General features: G+C 47.6%; 1 protein-coding gene across 4 annotated transcripts in view, besides 2 other annotated features; it reads right to left on the bottom strand.

Annotated features, from left to right (window-relative positions):
• VAV1 (vav guanine nucleotide exchange factor 1) overlaps positions 1–22,408 on the bottom strand; it is an 84,654-nt gene that overhangs the window by 59,153 nt on the left and 3,093 nt on the right. The window lies entirely within an intron of this gene.
• Positions 3,124–3,324: a silencer, noted in NCBI's record as "peak3307 fragment used in MPRA reporter construct". NCBI's record gives its function as "represses an SCP1 promoter by STARR-seq MPRAs in K562 erythroleukemia cells {active_cell/tissue: K562}" and the evidence as "EXISTENCE:reporter gene assay evidence [ECO:0000049][PMID:32103011]".
• Positions 15,332–15,504: a silencer, noted in NCBI's record as "fragment chr19:6782716-6782888 (GRCh37/hg19 assembly coordinates)". NCBI's record gives its function as "represses an EF-1alpha promoter that drives an FKBP-Casp9 reporter gene in an ReSE screen in K562 erythroleukemia cells {active_cell/tissue: K562}" and the evidence as "EXISTENCE:reporter gene assay evidence [ECO:0000049][PMID:32094911]".

The following is a 22,408-nucleotide window of genomic DNA, read 5'->3' as shown; positions in this document are numbered from 1 at the left end:
GCCTCCCAGGTTCAAGCGATTCTCCTGCCTCCACCTCCTGAGTAGCTGGGATTATAGGTGCGTGCCACCATGCCTGGCTAATTTCTGTATTTTTAGTACAGACAGGGTCTCACCATGTTGGCTAGGCTGGTCTTGAACTCCTGGCCTCAAGTGATTTGCCCACCTCGGCCTCCCAAAGTGCTGGGATTACAGCGTGAGCCACCGCGCCCCACCAATGTATTTTAAATATGTAATTTACTGTATGTCAATATAGCTGGTTTTTTTTTTTTTAAGTCAGCAGGATACTGGCTGCCCTGCTGTGTCTTTCCCCTAAAACTAGGTGCATAGGATGACTATCAGCTTAGGGAGTGGGTGGGGGAGGATGGGGTGGAAAATAAGGAAATAATGTAAACCATCATTGGTCAATAATGCAAAATACAGTCTTAGTCATATTTTTGCTCCTACTCTTTTTTTTTTTTTTTTTTTAGACGGAGTTTCACTCTTGTTGCCCAGGCTGGAGTGCAATGGCGCGATCTTTCACTCTTGTTGCCCAGGCTGGAGTGCAATGGCACGATCTCGGCTCACAACAACCTCTGCCCCCGGGGTTCAAACAATTCTCCTGCCTCAGCCTCCTGAGTAGCTGGGATTACAGGCATGCGTCACCACGCCCAGCTAATTTTGCAGTTTTAGTAGAGACTGGGTTTTACTATACTGGTGAGGCTGAGTCTCGAACTCCCAACCTCAGATGATCCGCCCGCCTTGGCCTCCCAAAATGCTGGGATTACAGGCATGAGCCACTGTGCCCGGCCATTTTGCTCCTACTCTTGATAAAACATAGTGAATGAGAGATAAATTTGTATTCTTTGTAATTCAAACTATTCTTACTTTAGAGTGTGAAGGGGGTAAAAAGGCTCCAAGCAAAGGGAGTAGCAGGTGAGAGGGCTTTGATCATTCAGACACTCCTTCATTCACTATGCAATTTTTTTTTTTTTTTTTTTGATACTGAGTCTCACTCTGTCACCCAGTCTGGAGTGCAGTGCTGCAATCTCGGCTCACAGCAATCTCCGCCTCTTGAGTTCAAGTGATTCTCCTGCCTCAGCCTCCTGAGCAGCTGGGATTATAGGCACCTGCCACCATGCCTGGCTAATTTTTGTATTTTTAGTGGAGACAGGGTTTTGTCACGTTGGCTGGGCTGGTCTCCTGACCTCAAGTGATCCACCCGTCTCGGCCTCCCAAAGTGCTGGAATTACAGATGTGAGCCACCGTGCCTGGCCAAATATGCAAATATTTATTGAGCACCTACTATACACCCAGTACTGGTCTAGGTGCTGGAGATACAGCTATGAACCAAAGAGATAAGCATCTCTGCCCTCAAGGGGCTGATATTCTGGCAAAGGAAGACAATGAAGGTATTGTAGGAGTATATTACATAGCTTGTCTGAAGGTGGTAAGTGTTAAGCGAGAAAAAAATAAGTAGGAAAAGGAATGGAGAATGTCAGGAGGGGGTGCAATTTTAAATAGGGAAGTCCAGGAAGCCTCATTGAGAGAGTGGCATTTCAGTAAAGGTTTGAAGGAGGTGAGGGGACAATCCAGGTGGGTGTCTGGAGGAAAAGCATTTCAGGCAGAGGGAATAGCCAGTGAGGTTAGTACAAGAAGCCCTGAGGTTAGTGCAAAGGCTCTGAGAAAAAAGCATTTCAGGCAGAGGGAACAGCCAGTGCAAAGGCCCTGAGGCCCTGGCATGTTGGAGCCAGGAGATCTGTGTGCCTGGAGCAGAGTAAGCGAGGGGGAGGGAGGAAGGGAGTGAACCAAGGGTGGTCTCAGGTGCCGATATGCCCAAACCGTGGCCATGTAATCAAAATGCAGCAAGTGGCTGTCACCCCAAGCACCCCATATTCTGCCATATCTCCCGGGGTCCCTATAAAGAAGGACAAATAAATGATTTTGAAGCCTTTGAAGTATTTCTCCCACCTCTCTCTCGAGTACACACTCAATAGCAAGTCAGGCTGAAGGCAGTAGACCCATATCCTTGGAGTGCTTAAACGCTGCTATGGTTTGAATGTGCACATGTTGGGAACGTATAATCCCCAATGCAATGGTGTTGAGAAGCGGGACCTTTAAGAGGTGATTAGATCACCAGGGTATATCTCTAACAGGCAGCAAGAAGGAAGGCAGATTCGTCATGTCCTGGTAGCTCATGGCAGAGACGGTCACAAGAAAGGATATCTAGGCTTGATCTCAGAGTGGACTAGCCGGGTGCGGTGGCTCACCCCTGGAATCCCAGCACTTTGGGAGGCTGAGACGGGCGGATCACGAGGTCAGGAGTTTGAGACCAGCCTGGCCAATATGGTGAAACCCTGTCTCTACTAAAAATAACAAAAATTAGCTGGGCGCGGTGGCACGCGCCTGTAGTCCCAGCTGCTCGGGAGGCTGAGACAGGAGAATCACTTGAACCCAGGAGGCGGAGGTTGCAGTGAGCTGAGATCGCACCACTGCACTCCAGCCTGGGCGACAGAGTGAGACTCCATCTCAAAAAACAAACAAACAAACAAACAAGCAAAAAGAGTGGACTAAACCCCAAAACCAGCAGGACCAGTAGAGCTAAGACGTGCCACCCTGTGCCAGGACATAGTAAACCGTTACGTATCATCAGTTCTCAGACCAATAGCAATATTGACAGCTCCCATCAATTGAGAACCAGGCTGCTTACCCATTAGAGTTATAAATAAAATTAATTCAATAAATAAATAAATAAATAAATAAAAGAACTACGCCCTGGGTGAAGCAATTCGTGTGCATTACAACTGTCTCCTCTGGTCTTCAAAACGATCCTGCAATGAAGTAGGGCTCCTATTTCGCGAGCGATACACAGAGTTCAGAGAAGGAGGGTCATTTGCTCAAGGTTCATGTAGGTCATTAACCTGATTGGTTAATGACTCATCCCCTTCCTTTGTTTTGCGCTGCCAGGAAGACAACTACATTTCCCAGGCTCCTTTGCACCCTGCTCCTAGATAGGTTCAGCCAATTGGAGGTCCCTGCTGGTGCCTAGGGTAGGAAGAGAGAAGCCAGGGTATGGCTTCTTGTTACGAAAACTGCTGTAAGTGACACTGCGTGATTTCCAAGTAGGTTAGAAGACGCCTTGCAGCTTCTGGCTTGATCTTTTTGAGGAATACTTGCTCTCTCTCCGGGTTTCTTGAAACCCGGTCGCCATGTTGTGGGGAAGCCCAAGCCACTTGGAGATACCACACGTAAGTGCTCCAGTCAATAGCCCCAACTGAGCATAGCCTCAAGTCATCCCAGCCCAGACACCCATCATGTGACGAAGAATCCTCCAGAGCATTCTAGTTCCCAGAAAGTCAAAGTTTCTCACCATGGAGCTGAGGCACCATCATCACTATGCCCTGTCTGAATTCCTGAGTCATAGAATCTGTGAGAATCAAAAATCATGTTTTTCTTACATCACTCAGTTTGGAGTGGTTTGTTTCACAGCAATAACTAATAACCTAAATATATGATGGTGCCAACACCATGGATTTGTTGTGAAAATTCAAAAGTGTTAATAAGTATAAAGTACCTAGAACAACACCTGAACATAGTGGGTGCTCATTAAAGTGACCTATTGCTTTTGTTGCTATTCATGACACTTTCTGAATCTACTCCTCTCAACGGCATTGGTCTCTTGACACCACACCCATCTGGTTATCCTCTTTGTTTTTTTGTTTTGTTTTGAGACAGAATCTCATTGTGTCGCCCAGGCCTGAGCGCAGTGATGCAATCATAGCTCACTGCAGCCTCAAACTCCTGGGCTCAAGCAATCCTCCTGCCTCAGCCTCCCAGAATGCTGAAATTACAGGCATGGGCCACCACGCCTGGCCTGGTTTTCCTCTTCAGTCACTGTATTCTCCTCTCCCCAATGTTTCTATGCTGTTACAACCTAAGGCCCAACCCTCAGACCACCTCTTTTCCCTCTCTCTTCTTTGTCCCAAATGATTTCACTCATTGATAAATGATTTATTACCAATAAACCAATAAACTAATAATTGATTTATTACCAATAAGTCATTTATCAATGAGTGACATTTACCCTTGGTAAATAAATCATTTACCGTTGATTTATTGGTAAATAAATCATTTACCGTTGGTTTATTGGTAAATAAATCATTTACCGTTGGTTTATTGGTAAATAAATCATTTACCGTTGGTTTATTGGTAAATAAATCATTTATCAATTTTTCATAAATGATAAAGAAGTCATTTATCAGTATCACTGGTAAATCATTTACCAATGATTTATTTATCAATCATTTAATGGATACTGCTTGAAGCACTTTACGACTTTACAATTATTACCTCATTTTTAATTCTTACAACAATCCTATAAGGTAGGGACTAGTTTTATCTCCATTTGAAAGATAGGGAAACTGAGTCACAGAGAGGTTCTGTGTGAAGACAAAGTGGCCCCATCTTGGATGCTAATTGCCATGTTGACTTCTGATTAACCCCACTCCCGGGAATGTCTCCTGAGTTCTACATTATTTGCTGTCCCTAGTGTAAGAACATATCAAAGCAAACTTGATGTTATCATACAAATTATAGGCTGTGATGTGCACGGTGTTTTTGCCTGTTCTGGAGGACTGCCTTTTCCTGTACTATATAAGCACTGGGTCCTGCACATTTTCCTGTACTATATAAGCACTGGGTCTGTGAGGTAATGGTGCAGAGAGGTACCTGTCTTGCCGCCGCCCAAGACCATGTTTCTTCTCTCCATAAGCTCCCCCAACAAATCACCCTTTACCAACAAACAGGATTTGTCTGCTGCATTCTTTGGTGTCTTGGCTCCCTCTGCTTTTGGGGTCATTTTTGATATATGGTCCTTTCTTTCTTTCTTTCTTTCTTTTTGAGATGGAGTCTCGCTCTGTCACCCAGGCTGGAGTGCAGTGGCGCGATCTCGGCTCACTGCAAGCTCCGCCTCCCAGGTTCGCACCATTCTCCTGCCTCAGCCTCCGGAGTAGCTGGGACTACAGGCACCCGCCACCATGCCTGGCTAATTTTTTGTATTTTTAGTAGAGATGAGGTTTCACCGTGTTAGCCAGGATGGTCTTGATCTCCTGACCTTGTGATCCACCTGCCTCGGCCTCCCAAAGTGCTGGGATTACAGGTGTGAGCCACCGCGCCCGGCCATATATATGGTCCTTTCTTGAAGCATTTGATAACTTGCCCAAGATCCCACAGCTGTGACTGGAACCTGGACCCCCCACACAACTGGAGTCCATGTGCCTAGCACTGAGTCCCTCGGTCTCAGCGCTGTTGACATTTGGTGGGAGAGGGGCCTGTCCTGGGCATTGGAAGACACTCAGAAGCATCTCTGGCCTCTATCCAATAGATATCAATAACACACCAAGCCCTCCAGTAGTGATAACTGAAACTGTCTCCAGGCATTGCCAAATGTCCCCTGGGAGGACAGAGTCACTCCCCTCGCCCCCACTGCTGCCCCACACCACCCCTTAGTTAAGAACCATGCACCGGACATGCATGGTAGCTCATGCCCTGTAATCCCAGCACTGAGGCTGGGATGGGAGGATCACCTGAGCCCAGGATGTCAAGAGCAGCCTGGGCAACATAGTGAGACCCTGTCTCTACAAAAACAAACAAAACAAAACAAAACAGAAAAAAGAACCATGTGCTAGCCATTATGCTGTACTGCCTTCCTTCCCTTGCTTGATCAAACTCCCCAAGACCTGTTCCTCCCCTAGTCTTCCTACTACAGTAGAAGATACCCTAATTCACGCAAGTCCCTAAGCTGTAAACCTAGACACCACCCTGCCTCCTCTTTTCATTTCATTTCATTCCTTTTTTTTTTTAATTCTTGCCTTCCTGGAATATGAGACCTGCCTCCTCTTTTCATCCACCTCCACCCTTCCTCCTCAATGAAAATGTGAGCTGGATCCATGACTCCCAACTCCCAGTCGAGGCCACCATCACTTCTCATGGGGATGCCTTCATCAACCTTCTTTTTCCAGATCTCTCTTCTTTTTTTGTTTTTTGTAGAGGTGGGATCTCACTATGTTGCCCAGGATGGTTTCAAACCCTTGGCCTCAAGTGATCTTCCTGCCTCAACCTCCCAAAACACTGGGATTGCAGGCATGAGCCACCACACCTGGTCAGGGACCTCTTTAAACAATTGATCTGCTTAAATGCTCCAAGGATTTCCCATCCCCCCCTTAAGTTCCACACACATCCCCATAGCCATTCTAGGTAAGTACCTTCCTCCCAAACCTCATTCTTTACCACTCTCCCTCCACTCACTCCCTTCCTTCCAGAAGCTCCTTCATTCTGATTCTTCTCACCTTAGGGCATTTGCACAGTCTTTGCCCTCTCTGCCTCATGCTTCCCAGAGCTGGCTCCTCCTCCTGCAGCTCTCAGCTTTCCTTGACCACCCTCCAGAAAGCATGCCCTCCTCTTCTTCTTCCCCTTGATCCCTGGGTTTGTTTCATCTGTGACATTTATTACAATGTGCCAGCGTTTTGTCTATTTGTTTACTGTCTGGAATGGGTCTGGCCCCCTCTAAAGATGTATCCAGGTCAAATCCCTGGAAGCTGTGAAGGTGACCTGTGAACATTTTTTGGAGAAAACGACTTTGTAAGATGTAAGGTAAGGATCTTGAGATGGGGCGATGTCTCAGGGACCTTGAGATGAGGACATAGCTCAAGGACCTCAAAATGAGGAGATATCTCAAGGACCTTGAGACGAGGAGGTAGCTCAAGGACCCCAGGATAAGGAGCTAGCTCAAGGACCTTGAGATGAGATAGCTCAAGGACCTCGAGATGAGGAGCTAGCTCAAGGACCTCAAGATGAGGAAGTATCTCAAGGACCTCAAAATGAGGAGTTATCTCAAGGACCTCGAGATGAGGAAATAACTCAAGGACCTTAAGATGAGGAGGTATCTCAAGGACCTCAAGATGAAGAGATAGCTTGAGGACCTCGAGATGAGGAGATATCTCAAGGACCTCAAGATGAGGAGATAACTCAAGGACTTCAAGATGAGGAGGTATCTCAAGGACTTCAAGATGAGGAGATATTTAAGACCCACCCAGGCCATCTGGGATCATCCAGGTGGGCCCTAAATCCAATAACAAGTGTCCTTGTAAGAGACACACAGACAGACATAGGAGAAAACCATGTAAAGATGGAGTCACAATCCAAGGATGCATGTGAAATAGGAGGCAGGACTCGACTCTGGAGGTGGGGCTCAGACACTGGACCAGATTGAGGACTAGCTGAAACAGGGAAGAGGCAAAAGTGCCTCTCCATAAAACATGGCCACCAGTGCTATGTCAGTTTACCATTGCCATGGCAACACCCAGAAGCTGATGCCCCCTTCCATGGCAAAGACCTGACAACTCAGAAGTTACCACTTTATTTCTAGAAATCTCTGCATAATCCACCCCTTGATTTGCATATAATTAAAACGGGATAAATATGCCTGCAGCACTGCCTCTGAGCTGCTACTCTGGGCTCACTGCCAATGGGGTAGCCCTGCTCTGCAAGGAACAGTACCTCTGCTGCTGCTCTGCATGGTTGCTTCAATAAAACTTGCTAACACCACCAGCTTGCCCTTGAATTCTTTCCTGGGTGAAGCCAAGAACCCTCCAGGGCTAAGCCCCAATCTAGGGGCTCGCCTGTCCTGGATCATCTGGAGCCCCCAGAAGCAGGAATAGGCAGAGAAAGATTCTCCTTTGGAGCCCCCAGAGGGAGCACAGCTCTGCAGACACCTTGAGTTCAGACCTCTGGCCTCTAGGATTATGAGAGAATAAATGTCCTTTGTTCTAAGACATCCGATCCGTGGTTCTTTGTTACAAAAGCCACAAGGAACAAAAACACCACCCCCTCCCTCAAGAGGGCATGAACTCAGAAAAGTATTAACTGTGTCCATTATGTCCTGTGCTGTAACCCCAGCAATCAGTGTAGCCCTTATCACTGATGATAAAATAACATCAAATGAGTCTTCCTCCCCTCTTCCTCTCCCCAGCATTTATTTTATTTTATTTTATTTTTGAGACAGAGTCTCACTCTCTCACCCAGGCTGGAGTGCACTTGCACGATCTCAGCTCACTGCAACCTCCACCTCCTGGGCTTAAGTGATTCTTCTGCCTCAGCCTCTCGAGTAGCTGGGATTACAGGCGCCTGCCACCATGGCCGGCTAATTTTTTTGTATTTTTAGTAGAGATGGGGTTTCACCATGTTGGAGATCCACCCGCCTCAGCATCCCAAGGTGCTGAGATTACAGGCATGAGCCACCACGTCTGGCCTCTCCCCATCATTAAATAAAAAATAAGGCCAGGTGCAGTGGCTCATGCCTGTAATCCAGCACTTTGGGAGGCCAAGGCAGGCAGGTCACTTGAGGTCAGGAGTTCCAGACCAGCCTGGCCAAGATGGCAAAACCCCTTCTCTACTAAAAAATACAAAAATTAGCCGGATATGGTGGCACATGCCTATAAACCCAGCCACTCTGGAGGCCAAGGCAGGAGAATCACTCGAACCCATGATGCGGAGGTTGCAGTGAGCCAAGATCACACCACTGTAGTCCAGTCTGAGTGACAGAGAGAGACTCCATCAGAAAGGAAGGAAGGAAGGAAGGAGGGAAAGAAAAGAAAAGAAAGCAGAACAGAAAAGAAAGGAAAGAGCCGGGTGCGGTGGCTCATGCCTGAAATCCCAGCACTTTGGGAGGCCAAGGCAGGTGGATCATGAAGTCAGGAAATTGAGACCATCCTGGCTAACACGGTGAAACCCCATCTCTACGAAAATATAAAAAATTAGCTGGGCATGGTGGTGGGCACCTATAGTCCCAGCTACTCGGGAGGCTGAGGCAGGAGAATGGCGTGAACCTGGGAGGTGGAGCTTGCAGTGAGACGAGATCGCGCCACTGCACTCCAGCCTGGGCGACAGAGTGAGACTCTGTCAAAAAAAAAAAAGAAGAAAGGAGAGAGAAAGAAAGAAATTAAAATAAATATTCTAATTCAAAGAAGCCCTCAATCTCTTCTTTGCTGTTCTCAGCCAGTAATCATCAGATCTCTTTGGATTTTCCCCAAGACAGCAAGCTCACTCCCTCCAAAACTGGTTTGCCCGCCCCCAGGGCGATTCTGCCTCCCAGGGGACATTTGGCAATGTCTGGAGATACTGAGGAGAGGTGCTACTTGTGTGAAATGGATAGAGTCCAAGCATACTGCTAAGCATTTTAGAATACACAGGGCAGCTCCCAGGACAGAAAATGATCCGGCCCCACATGTCAACAGGACTGAGAATCAGAAATTCTGGCTTAAATTTAGAAGTCACTGCCCATATAAACACTGATTGCCTCCTGACATCTTATTTACCCTTCTGAGGTAACAGTTCCTCAGTTTCCTCTGTGGAAGCCACCCCAACCTCAACTCAAGGAATAGGCACATGACCCTGGCCTGGCCCATCAGAGCATGGTATTCTCCTGGCCACAGCAGCCGGTTCAGAAATAGACATGTGACCAGCCACCTCCCACCTCCACAAAAAAAGAATCATGTTCAAACAGCCAGGTGCAGTGGCTCACACCTGTAATCCCAGCACTTGGGGAGGCCGAGGTGGGCAGATCACGTGAGGTCATTCAAGACCAGCCTGGCCAATCTGGTGAAACCCCGTCTCTACTAAAAATACAAAAATTAGCCAGGTGTGGTGGCACCTACCTGTCTGTAATCCCAGCTACTAGGGAGGCTGAGGCACAAGAATTACTTGAACCCAGGAGGTGGAGGTTGCACTGAGCCGAGATTGTGCCACTGCACTCCAGCCTGGGCAACAGAGCAAGACTCAGTCTCAAAATAATAATAATAATAATAATAATAATAATAATAATAAAATAAAAAGAATCATGTTCAACGAAGGATAATGCTAGGACCTTGGCTTCAGTGACCAGAAAGCCAACCCCCCTATTTTCCATCGAACTCAGAGTGATGAGAATATAAATTTAGAGCAGGCTGGATGTGGTGGCTCATTCCTGTAATCTAAGAGCTTTGGGAGGCTGAGGCAGAAGGATCATTTGAGGCCAGAAGTTCCATATCAGCCTGAGCAACACAGTGAGGTCCATCTCCATTGAATGTTTTAATGTTTTTTTGTTTGTTTGTTTGTTTTTGAGACGGAGTCTTGCTCTGTCACCCAGGCTGGAGTGCAGTGGCGGGATCTCGGCTCACTGCCAGCTCCACCTCCCAGGTTCACGCCATTCTCCTGCCTCAGCCTCCCAAGTAGCTGGGACTACAGGTGCCCGTCACCACACCCGGCTAATTTTTTGTATTTTTTAGTAGAGACGGGGTTTCACCGTGTTAGCCAGGATGGTCTCGATCTCCTGACCTCGTGATCCACCTGCCTCGGCCTCCCAAAGTGCTGGGATTACAGGTGTGAGCCACCATGTCTGGCTGTGTTTTAATGTTTTTAAAACATTAAAAAAACAGTTGGGCATGGTGACGCACACCTATTAGTCCCAACTACTTGGGAAGCTGAGGTAGGAGAATCTCCTGAGCCCAGAAGTTTGAGGCTGCAGGGAGCTATGACTATGCCATTGCACTCCAGCCTGTGTGACAGAGCAAAACTTAGACTTTAAATAAATAAATAAATAAATAAATAAATAAATAAATAAATCTGGAGTAGTTGGTCACCCTCATCTGCCTCCATGAGGGAAAAGAATGATTGAGGATGGAGGAAAACACCCACAAGAAAGCAGAGTTAAGAGATGGAGGGCTGGGTGCGGTGACTCACGCCTGCAATCCCAGCATTTTTGGAGGCCAAGGCGGGGAAGATTGCTTGAGGTCAGGAGTTCAAGACCAGCCTTGCCAACTTGGTGAAACCCCATCTCTACTAAAAATACAAAAATTAGCCTGGCATTGTGGTGTGCACCTGTAGTCCCAACTACTCAGGAGGCTGAGGTGGGAAGATCACTGGAGGCCAAGAGATGGAGGTTGCAGTGAGCCAAGATCGCACCACTGCACTCCAGCCTTGGTGACAGAGTGAGACCCTGTCTCAAAACACAAAAAAGCAAACAAACAAAAAATAGAGAGAGAGAGATGGAAAGACCAAGGGTGGGGAGGAGGTGTCCTGAGATATTGCCTGAGCCCCTGGATCCAGCCAGACCTGAAGGCCACTGCACTCCAGCCTGGATGACAGAGCAAGACTCCATCTCAAAAAAAAAAAAAAATAGACAGCGTGTCAACAAATGGGCCTGACCGTGTATTGGTTAAATTTTATTTTCAAAATAAGGCAGTAAGACTCTACTTTCAGGGATCATTTTTATATAGATTGTTACTAGAGAAGTTTTTCTGAATATGCGGAATACCAAAAATAATAATAATAAAATATAAAAATAGTAAACGTCAAATCAATACCAAGAAAAGTAAATAAATAAAATAATTTTTATTTTGTTTTGTTTCATTTTGTTTTGAGACCCTGTCTCTGTTGCTCAGGCTAGAGTGCAGTGGTGCAATCGTGGTTCACTGCAACCTCCATCTCCCAGGCTGAAGTGATCCTTCCACCTCAGCCTCTTGAGTAGCTGGGACTATAGGCGCACACCATCACACCCAGGTAATTTTTATATTTTTTATAGAGATGGGGTTTTGCCAGGATGCCCAGGCTGATCTCAAACTTTTGGGCTCAAGTGATCCTCCTGCCTCAGCCTCCCAATGTCTTAAGATTACAGGCGTGAGCCACTGCACCCAGCCATAATTTTCATTTTTAATTTTTTAAATTAATTTATTTTACAGGGACGGGCTTGCTGTGTTGCCCAGGCTGGAGTGCAGTGGCAGGATCATAGTTCACTGCAGCCTCAAACTCCTGGGCTCAAGCGATCCTCCCATCTCAGCCTCCCGGGTAGCTGGGACTACAGATACAAGCTAAGATAATTTTTAAAACACGAGGCAGCTTGGGCCCATGAGTTATCATTTGCCAGCCCCTGTGTTAAGCGAATGAATGAAGCAATTAGAATCATATATTCATATGATAAATGAATAAATTAATTGATTCCGTACTATGTGCCAGGTGGTGTTCTAAAGCACTGGGGGACGTAAAATAGACAAAAATCCTTGCCTTGACATTTGAGTGTGGAAAACAGGTAATAAGCAAATAAGTAAAAACTATGACAGGTCAGAGAGCACTAAGTGCTATGGAGAAAAATAAAACATGAAAGAGAATGGGAAGTTGGGAGGGCGAAATCTATGATTTTATATCTAGAAACAGTGGAAGATCTCTCAGATAAGAAATCTGGGCTGGGCGCGGTGGCTCATTACCTGTAATCCCAGCACTTTGGGAGGCCGAGACGGGCGGATCACTTGAAGTCATGAGTTCAAGACCAGCTGGCCAACATGGTGAAACCCCATCTCTACTAAAAATACAAAAATTAGCTGGGTGTGGTGGTGCGTCCCTATAATCCTGGCTACTCGGAAGGCTGAGGCAGGAGAATCATTTGGGCCCAGGAGGCAGAGGTTGCGGTGAGCTGAGATCGTGCCACTGCACTCCAGCCTGGGCGATAGAGCAAGACTCTATCTCAAAAAAAAAAAAAAAAGAAAGAAAGAAAGAAAGAAACCTGGCCACTGACCATGTGCAGTGGCTCACATCAGTAATCCCAGCACTTTGAAAGGCTGAGGCGGGCAGATCACCTGAAGTCAGGAGTTTGAGACCAGCCTGGCCAACATGGTGAAACTCCGTCTCTACTAAAAATACAGAAATTAGCCAGGCATGGTGGCACATGCCTGTAATCCCAGCTACTTGGGAGGCTGAGGCAGGAGAATCACTTGAATCCAAGAGGCAGAGGTTGCAGTGAGCTGAGATCATGTCACTGCACTCCAGCCTGGACAATAGACAGAGACCCCGTTAAAACAAAGAAAAAAGAAAAAGGTGAAGTGGCTCATGTCTGTATCCGAGCACTTTGGGAGGCAGAGGCGAGAGGATCACTTGAGCCCAGAAGTTGGAGGCTGCAGTGAGCTATGATAACACCACTGCACTCCAGCCTGGGCAATAGAGCAAGACCCCCTTCTCCGAAAAAAGACAGAGAGAGAGAGAAAGAGAAACCTGAAGGAGATAAGAGAACACTCACCGTGTATACCTGAGGGAAGAGAAATCCCTGAAGAAGGAAGAGCCAGTGCAAAGGCCCTGAGGCTGGATTGTGCTGGGTGGCCGATTTGGCTGCGGTGCAGAGAGCAATGGGTAGAGAGGGAGCAGGGAAGGGCTGAGAGATGGACAGAGGCCAAATGCATAAGCCCTTGTGGGCTACAGTGAGGATTTTGTCTTTTTCACCAAGGGCAGTGGGGAACCAGGGAAGGGCTGTGAGTAGGGAAGGGACAGAGATTTCTAGCATCTCTGTGAAAGTCCTGAAAGGTGACATTTCCCAGCACTGGACCAAGAGAGGAGGTCAGTGAATAGAATAGAATGGAGGCTGGGCATGGTGGCTCACGTCTGTAATCCCAGCACTTTGGGAGGCCGAGGCGGGTAGATCACTTGAGGCCAGGAGTTGGAGACCAGCTTGGCCAACATGGTGAAACCCCGTCTCTACTAAAAATACAAAAATCAGCTAGGTGTGGTGGCACTTGCCTGTAATCCCAGCTACTCAGGAGGCTGAGGCAGGAGAATCGCTTGAACCCGGGAGGCGGAGGCTGCCGTGAGCCAAGATTGTGCCACTGCACTCCAGCCTGGGAGAGAGAGTGAAACTCTGTCTCAAAAAAAAAAAAAAAAAAGGAACAGAATGGAATGGAAAGGGATGGTGCCAAGTGCTGACCCTCCTAGATGCCCCTCCTGTTGGCCCTAGCAGGCAAGGTAAGAGGAGGTTTTCCAATCAGCCCAACCCATTTTGCTGAAGTTGCTATCACCCAGCTCCCTCATCCCCAGCTGAATTCCTCCCCCATGGCCTTGGCTCAGGTCCTTCTTATTCTACATCCCATTGAGATTTCCACAGACCTGCATAGATATATTTAGAGACAGGGTCTTACTCTTTTGTCCAGTCTGGAGTACAGTGGTAGCACAATCATAGCTCACTGCAGCATCAAACTCCTGGGCTCAAGCGATCCTCCTGCCTCAACTTCCTGAGTAGCTGAGACTATAGGCGTGCACCACCATGCCGGGCTTATTTTTTTATTTTTTGTAGAGACGGGACCTTGGTATGTTGCCCAGGCTGGTCTCGAATTCCTAGCCTCAAGCAATCCTCCTGTCTCGGCCTCTCAAAGTGCTGAGATTACAGGCATGAGCCACCATGCCTGGCCCTAGACCTGCATTCCTGAAACCCGCTCCATACCTGCATTTCTGGAGCCAGTGAGGCATTACCCTGAGGTTCTACGGCAGTGACTTCTTTGCGTCCAACCAACCTATCTCCTTTTTATCCCCAGCTCCAGTTTAACCACATTCCTAGTCTCCCTCGTAGTTAAATGGAGCCATGTGACCAAGTTCTGGCCAATAACAAGAATGGAGGCAGGGCATGGTGGCTCACGCCTGTAATCCCAGCACTTTGGGAGGCCGAGGCGAGTGGATCACCCGAGGTCAGGAGTTCGAGACCACCCTGACTAACATGGAGAAACCCCTACAAAATTAGCCAGGTGTGATGGTGCATGCCTGTAATCCCAGCTACTTGGGAGGCTGAGGCAGGAGAATCACTTGAACCTGGGAGGCGGAGGTTGCCGTGATGCACTGAACAGAGATCGCGCCATTGCACTCCAGCCTGGAGGAAAAGGGCAAAACTCCGTCTCAAAAAAAAAAAAAAAAAAAAAGGATGGAGGTGATGGCGCCACTTCCAGGCCTGGCCTGGGAAATTCTTTCATAGCGCTCTTTCCCCAGTAGAAAAGACTCCAAGGGCCTTCGGGAAGCTAAGACCATGAGATGATGGAGCCTCGGCCCTAGAGAGACTCTATAACATAGAGCCCTCCTCCCCCAACCCCTGACATTGACCCAAACTGAATTGTGACATCAATAAGAAGTAAAGTCTCACTATCACTGAAGTCATGTAATTTGGTTTTGTGTTTTGAGGGTTTGGTTTTGTTTGTTTTTGTTTTTGTTTTTTTTGAGACGGAGTCTCGCTCTGTCACCAGGCTGGAGTGCAGTGGCATGATCTCAGCTCACTGTAGCCTCCACCTCCCAGGTTCAAGCCATTCTCCTGCCTCAGCCTCCTGAGTAGCTGGGACTACAGGCATACACCACCACGCCTGGCTAATTTATGTATTTTTAGTAGAAACCGGATTTCCCCATATTGGTCAGGCTGGTTTCAAACTCCTGACCTCATGATCCACCTGCCTTGGCCTCCCAAGGTGCTGGGATTACAGGCGTGAGCCACTGCACCTGGCCTTTTTTTTTTTTCTTCCGAGACAGGATCTCACTCTGTCACCCGGGCTGGACTGCAGCGGCGCGATCTATAGCTCACTGCAGCCTCCAATTCCTGGGCTCAAGTGATCCTCCTGCCTCAGCGTCCTAGGTAGCCGGGACCATAGGCACACACCACCATGCTCTGCTAATATATATATATATTTTGTAGAGATGGGGATCTTGTATGTTGCCCAAGCTAGTCTCAAACTCCTGGCCTCAAGCGATTAGCCTTGCCTTGGCTTCCCAAAGTGTTGGGATTATAGGCGTGAGCCATTGTGCCTGGCAAAATGATGCAATTTGTTACAGCAGTTAACATACGTACCCTGACTTATATACCATTGCCTACAGGCAGCTGGGACTCAATGGAATTAAATTAACAAAAATAATGACTCTCGTTCATTTAGCACTCACTATATGTTAATTGCCATGCTGGGAATTTCATTTACCTTATCATGTTTAATCCTTACACAACTCTGAAATAAAGGTACTGTCAACATTTCCATTTTATTTTATTTTATTTTTATTTTTATTTATTTATTTATTTATTTATTTTAGATGGAGTCTCACTCTGTTGCCTAGGCTGGAGTGCAGTGGTGCAATCTTGGCTCACTACAACCTCCGCCTCCTGGGTTCAAGGGATTCTTCTGCCTCAGTCTCCTGAGTAGCTGGGATTACAGGTGCCCACCAGCACACCCGGCTAATTATTGTATTTGTAGTAGAGTTGGGCTTTCGCCATGTTGGACAGGCTGGTCTTGAACTCCTGACCTCAGGTGATCCCCCACCTCAGCCTCCCGAAGTGCTGGGATTACAAGAGTGAGCCATGTGCACGGCCAACATTCTCATTTTATAGATTTCCTGTTTTATAGATAAGACAATCAGGGATCCAATAGGTTAAGTAATTATTTTTTTCTCCAAGACCACAAAGCTAGCAAATACCTGACTTGCAATTTAAGTCAACCTATATATAAAGAGCTCCTAAAAATCAGTAAGAGATGCCTGTAATCCCAGCACTTTGGGAGGCCAAGACGGGTGGATCACTCGAGGTCAGGAGTTTGAGACCGGCCAGGCCAACATGGCGAAACCCTGTCTCTACTAAAAATACAAAAATTAGCTGGGCATCTTGGCGCACACCTGTAATCTCAGCTACTTGTGAGGCTGAGGCACGAGAATCACTTGAACCTGGGAGGCGGAGGTTGCAGTGAGCTGAGATTGCGCCACTACACTGCAGCCTGTACAACAGAGAAAGACTCAGCCTCAAAAAAAAAAAAAAAATCAGTAAGAGAAAAGGTCAGTAGTTCTAGAAAGTGCAACAATAGTAAGCAAGTGATATGAACAGAGATTGTATCACAGGAAGAAAATATAAATAGCTCTTAAACATAAGGAAAGAGGCTCAGCTTCACTCAGAATAAGAGAAAATGTAAACTGAGCCTTAATGAGCTCCACTGATTTCCCATCCAGCTGGCAAAACTCCAGAATCTTGGCAACAGAACCGTCTGTCGGGGAGGCGGCAGAGAAGCCAGTCCTCTGGCATGTGGTGGTATAATTGAAATAATTCATATGGAAACAATCCCAGACGGATAACAATTTGGCAATATCTATCAAAAACACAAAGATTGGCTAGCACTTCGGTTGACAAAATAAAACGTCTTAAAATTTGAAAAATAAAAACACGAGGACTGGGTGGAGCACGATGATTCACGATTATCATCCCAGCACTTTGGGAGGCCGAGGTGGGAGGGTCTCTTGAGGCCAGGAGTTTGAGACCAGCCTGGGCAACATGGTGAGACCCCCATCTCTACTTTAAAAAATGGTGGGCTTGGTGGTGTGCATCTGTAGTCCCAGCTGCTCAGGAGGCTGAGGCAGGAGGATCACTTGAACCCAAGAAGTGGAGGTTGCAGTGAGCAGAGATCGTGCCAATGCACTCCAGCCTGGGTGACAGAGTGAGACTCTGTCTCAAAAGAAAGATAAGAAATCTTTGTATAAAATATGGTATAAATGATAAGAAATCGCCTGGGCATGGTGGCTATCACGTGTAATCCCAGCACTTTGGGAGGCTGAGGCGGGCAGATCATCTGAGGTCAGGAGTTCAAGACCAGCCTGGTCAACATGGTGAAACCCTGTCTCTACTAAAAATACAAAAAAATTAGCCGGATGTGGTGGCACGTGCCTGTAATCCCAGCTACTCGGGAGGCTGAGGCAGGAGAATCTCTTGAACCCAGGAGGTGGAGGTTCCAGTGAGCTGAGATCACGTCATTGCACTCCAGCCTGAGGAATAGAGTGAGACTCCGTCCCAAAAAAAAAAAAAAAAGAAAAAAGAAAGAAAAGGAGAAGGCAATCTTTTAATGCAATGGTAAGTATTCAGTGCAGTCCCATGCTGTACGGGTTTGTAGCTAGGAGCAATAGGTTATACCATATAGCCCAGGTGTGCAGTATGCTGTACCCTCTAGGTTTATGTAAATGTACTCTGATGTTCACACAACTGTGAAATCATCTAACTACGCATTTCTCAGAACAGATTCCTTTTATTAAGCAACACACAACTGCATATGCAGCTAAACACTTTTCTAGGTTCTTTATAATAATACACTTATCCCCCACAATGATGCTGTAAATAGGGATTTAGCATCCTCATTTTACAGATGAGAAACCAGGAAACAGAGAGGTTTACTAATGTGCCCAAGATCACACAGCAGAGGAGCTGGAAAATGATTCATGGATGAGGTTATTATTATTATTATTATTATTATTATTATTATTATTATTATTATTTTAAGACAGAGTCTTGCTCTGTCGCCCAGGCTGGAGTGCAGTGGCCTGATCTCGGCTCACTGCAAGCTCCGCCTCCCAGGTTCATGCCATTCTCCTGCTTCAGCCTCCCGAGTAGCTGGGACTACAGGCGCCCGCAACCACGCCCGGCTAATTTTTTGTATTTTTAGTAGAGACGGGGTTTCACCGTGTTAGCCAGGATGGTCTCGATCTCCTGACCTTGTGATCCGCCCGCCTCGGCCTCCCAAAGTGCTGGAATTACAGGTGTGAGTCACCGTGCCCGGCCTTTTATTATTTTTTAGAAGCTATAATTGGGCCAGGCACGGTGGCTCACACCTGTAAGCCAAAGTGCTAGGATTATAGGCATGAGCCACCGCACCCAGCCCCCAGCTTTATTTTAGTTTTATTTTTCATTTTTATAGAGACGAGGTCACACTCTGTTGCCCAGGCTGGCCTCTAACTCCTGTACCCAAGCAATCCTCCCGCCTCGGCCTCCCAAAGTGCTGGGATTACAGGCCTGAACCACTGCATCCAGCCAGGCCCCTCCCTGGTTTAGACTAATGTCTAGCACAGGGCGAGCAAAATGTAAGTCTTTCTTGAAATAAATGGAATACGCAGTCATGTTATAAAGAATAATTATAATCTCTACAGACTGACTTGGAAAGACTGCCAAGGTGATTAGTGAGGAAAGCAAGCATAGAGCAGTGGGTGGCATGTGTCATCTTTCCTGTTATGGGAGGATGGAGATAAGAACCTCTATTCTGGCCGGGTGCAGTGGCTCATGCCTGTAATCCCAGCACTTTGGAAAGCCAAGGCGGGAGGAATTGCTTGAGGCCAGGAGTTCAAGACCAGCCTGGGCATCATAGCAAAACCCCATCTCTACAAAAAATAAAAAATTAGCCAGGTATTGCTGGTGCACACCTGTAGTCCCAGCTACTCAGGAGGCTGAGGCAGGAGGACTGCTTGAGCACAGGAGTTCGAGGCTGCAGTGAGCTGTGATCATACCACTATACTCCAGCTTGGGTGACAGATTGAGACCCTGTCTCAGAAAACAGACAGACAAACAAAAAAATCACCCAGGTATGCCGGTGCACACCTGTAGTCCCAGCTACTCGGGAGGCTGAGGCAGGAGGACTGCTTGAGTACAGGAGTTCGAGGCTGCAGTGAGCTGTGATCATACCACTGCACTCCAGCCTGGCTGACAGAGCAAAACTCTGTCTCTTAAGAAAAAAAAAAAAAAAGTAGAGACGGGGTCTCACTATGTTACCAGGCTTTGAATTCCTGAACTCAAGCAATTCTCCCACCTCAGCCTCCCAAAGTGCTGGGATTACAGGCACGAGCCACCACACCCAGGCAAAATTGGGTTTTGTTTTGTTTTGTTTTGTTTTTTGAGACAAAGTCTCTCTCTGTTGCCCAGGCTGGAATGCAGTGGTGCCATCACAGCTCACTGCAGCCCAGGCTTAAGTGATCCTCCCCACTTAGCCTCTCGGGTAGCTGGGACCACAGGCGTGAGCCACCGCCCAGCCTTAAAAGGTGCCATTTTTATCTATGTTTCACAGATGGAGAAACTGAAGCTCAGAGAGGTGAAACCAGGAAGTGGTGGTACCAGAATTTGAACCCAGGTGTGGCTCTCCAAAGCCACCACCCAACCCACTCCCCAGTCCACCCCCTACTCTAACTGTCCCACCCTCTCCCCACTATTCACTGGGGCTGGGGAACTTAACATCATCTTGGCCCCAGCAGCTGCCCACATCCTAGGTCTAACCAGCTCCCATGTCCTGGTGGATCTTTCCAACCATCTGTTCTTTCCTCTCCAGTCTCTTGGCCTTCAAGTTCCATCTCCGCAGCCCAGATTTTGGACTTCAAGAGCACAGTGGTGTCTGGGCGTGGTGGCTTAACGCCTGCAATCCTAACACTTTGGGAGGCCGAGGCATGTGGGTCACTTAAGGTCAGGAGTTCGAGACCAGCCTGGCCAACATGCTGAAACCCTGTCTCTACTAAAAATACAGAAATTAGCCAGGCATGGTGGCACGCATCTGTAGCCCCAGCTACTCAGGAGGCTGAGACAGGAGAATCGCTTGAACCCGGGAGGAGGAGGTTGCAGTGAGCCAAGATCATGCCACTGTACTCCAGCCTGGGCAACAGAAATTAGCCAGGCGTGGTGGCAGGCGCCTGTAATCCCAGATACTCAGGAGGCTGCTGCAGGAGAATTGCTTGAACCTGGGAGGTGGAGGCTGCAGTGAGTTGGGACCATGCCACTGCACTCCATCCTGGGAGACAGCAAGGCTCTGTCTCATTTAAAAAAAACAAAATTCATAATTGAGAGTTGGGTGTCTCAGTATAGCTGTGGCTTCTCATGATGGTATCATTCTCTCCCTGGGCCTCAGATCTCAAGGGGACCAGCCGCTTGGAGATTCATCCAACCTGACCTCCTGCACCATTCCCACCAGCTGGGCCAGTCACTGCCCTGAACATACAGGCACTGACTGGCTCCTACCTCAGGGCCTTTGCACTGGCAGTAACCACTGTCTGGAACACCATTTCCCCAGATCCACATGATTCATTCCTTAATTTTCCCCAGGTCTCTGCTGCAATGTCACCTTACCACTAGCCCTCCTCGTCAAAGTGCCCCCCTCATACCCTGTTCCACTTTGTTTTCTCCAGAGCAGTACATACCACCTCCTGATGACTTATACATTGTCTTATTTCTTCACTGTCAGCCTCCCCCACTAGAATGCAGGCTCCTCAACAACAGGGGTTTTTGTGTGTGTGTGCTATTCCCACTGTCCCCAGCACCAAGAACAGGGCCTGGCAGACCTTGTCATTGCTGGATGGATGGATGGATGGATGGATGGATGGATGGATGGATGGATGGATGGATAGTTAAACAGATAAATGGATGGATGAATGAATGGATGGATGGGTAGATGAATGGATAGATGAGTAGACGGGTGGATGAGTGGATGGATGGATGGGATGGGTGGATGGATGGATGGATGGATGGATGAGTAGATGGATGGATGGGTGGGTGGGCAGGTGGATGATAGATAGATGAATGGATGGGCCGGGCGTATGGCTCACACCTGTAATCCCAGCACTTTGGAAGGCTGAGGCGAGTGGATCACAAGGTCAGGAGTTCAAGACCAGCCTGGCCAATATGGTGAAACCCCATCTCTACTAAAAATATAAAATTAGCCGGGCGTGGTGGCGGGTGCCTGTAGTCCCAGCTACTCAGGAGGCTGAGGCAGGAGAATTGCTTGAACCTAGGAAGCAGACGTTGCAGTGAGCCGAGATCATGCCCCTGCACTCCAGCCTGGGTGACAGAGTGAGACGCCGTAAATAAATAAACAAATAAATAAAAAAGACAGATTAGTGGATGGATGGATCCATGGATAGATGGGTGGGTGGATAGGTGAATGGGTGGGTGGGTGGATGGGTGGATACATGGATGGAAAAGTAGATGGATGGATAGACTGATAGATGGATAAATGAGTGGATGGATGGATGGATGGATGGATGAGTGGATGGACGGATGAGTGGGTGAATGAGTGGGTGGTTGAATGGATGGATGGATGGATGGATGGATGGATGGATGAGAGGATGGATGGATAGATGAGTGGATGGATGAATGGATGAATGGATGGATGGATGGGTGGGTGGATGGGTGGGTGGATGGATGGATGGATGGATGGATGGATGGATGGATGGATAGATGGGTGGGTGGATGGGTAGATGGATGGATGGATGGATGGATGGATGGATAGATGAGTGGATGGATGAATGGATGAGCAGATGGATGGATGGATGGATGGATGGATGGATGGATGGATGAGTGGATAGATGAATGGATGAGCAGATGGATGGATGGATGGATGGATAGATGAGTGGATGGATAAATGGATGAGCAGATGGATGGAGGAGTGGATGGATGGATGGATGGATGGATGGATGGATGGGTGGATAGATGAGCAGATGGATGAATGGATGAGCAGATGGATGGATGGATGGATGGATGGATGGATGGATGGATGGATGGATAAATGGATGGATGGATGGGTAGATGGATGGATAATTGGAGGGATAGATGAGTGGATGAATGAGTGGATGGGTGGATGAACGGATGGATGAATATGTTCTTTCCACCCTCTTCCCAAGAAACAACTGAGAAAAAAGAGAAGGACTCCGAAGAGAAATGACAGAAACTGGGAAGAATTCTCATTCCAGCCTGCACACCTTTATTTATGCCATTTCCTCCACAGGAGCACCTTTCCTTTTTCCCTCTACCCTTTCACATCCCATGGGGCATTCACAGCTC

This window comes from Homo sapiens, chromosome 19, assembly GCF_000001405.40.
Source record: "Homo sapiens chromosome 19, GRCh38.p14 Primary Assembly".
Taxonomy (NCBI): Eukaryota; Metazoa; Chordata; class Mammalia; order Primates; family Hominidae; genus Homo; species Homo sapiens.
The sequence above is the reverse complement of the archived record's forward strand: the minus strand, read 5'-3'. Positions and strand labels throughout refer to the sequence as shown.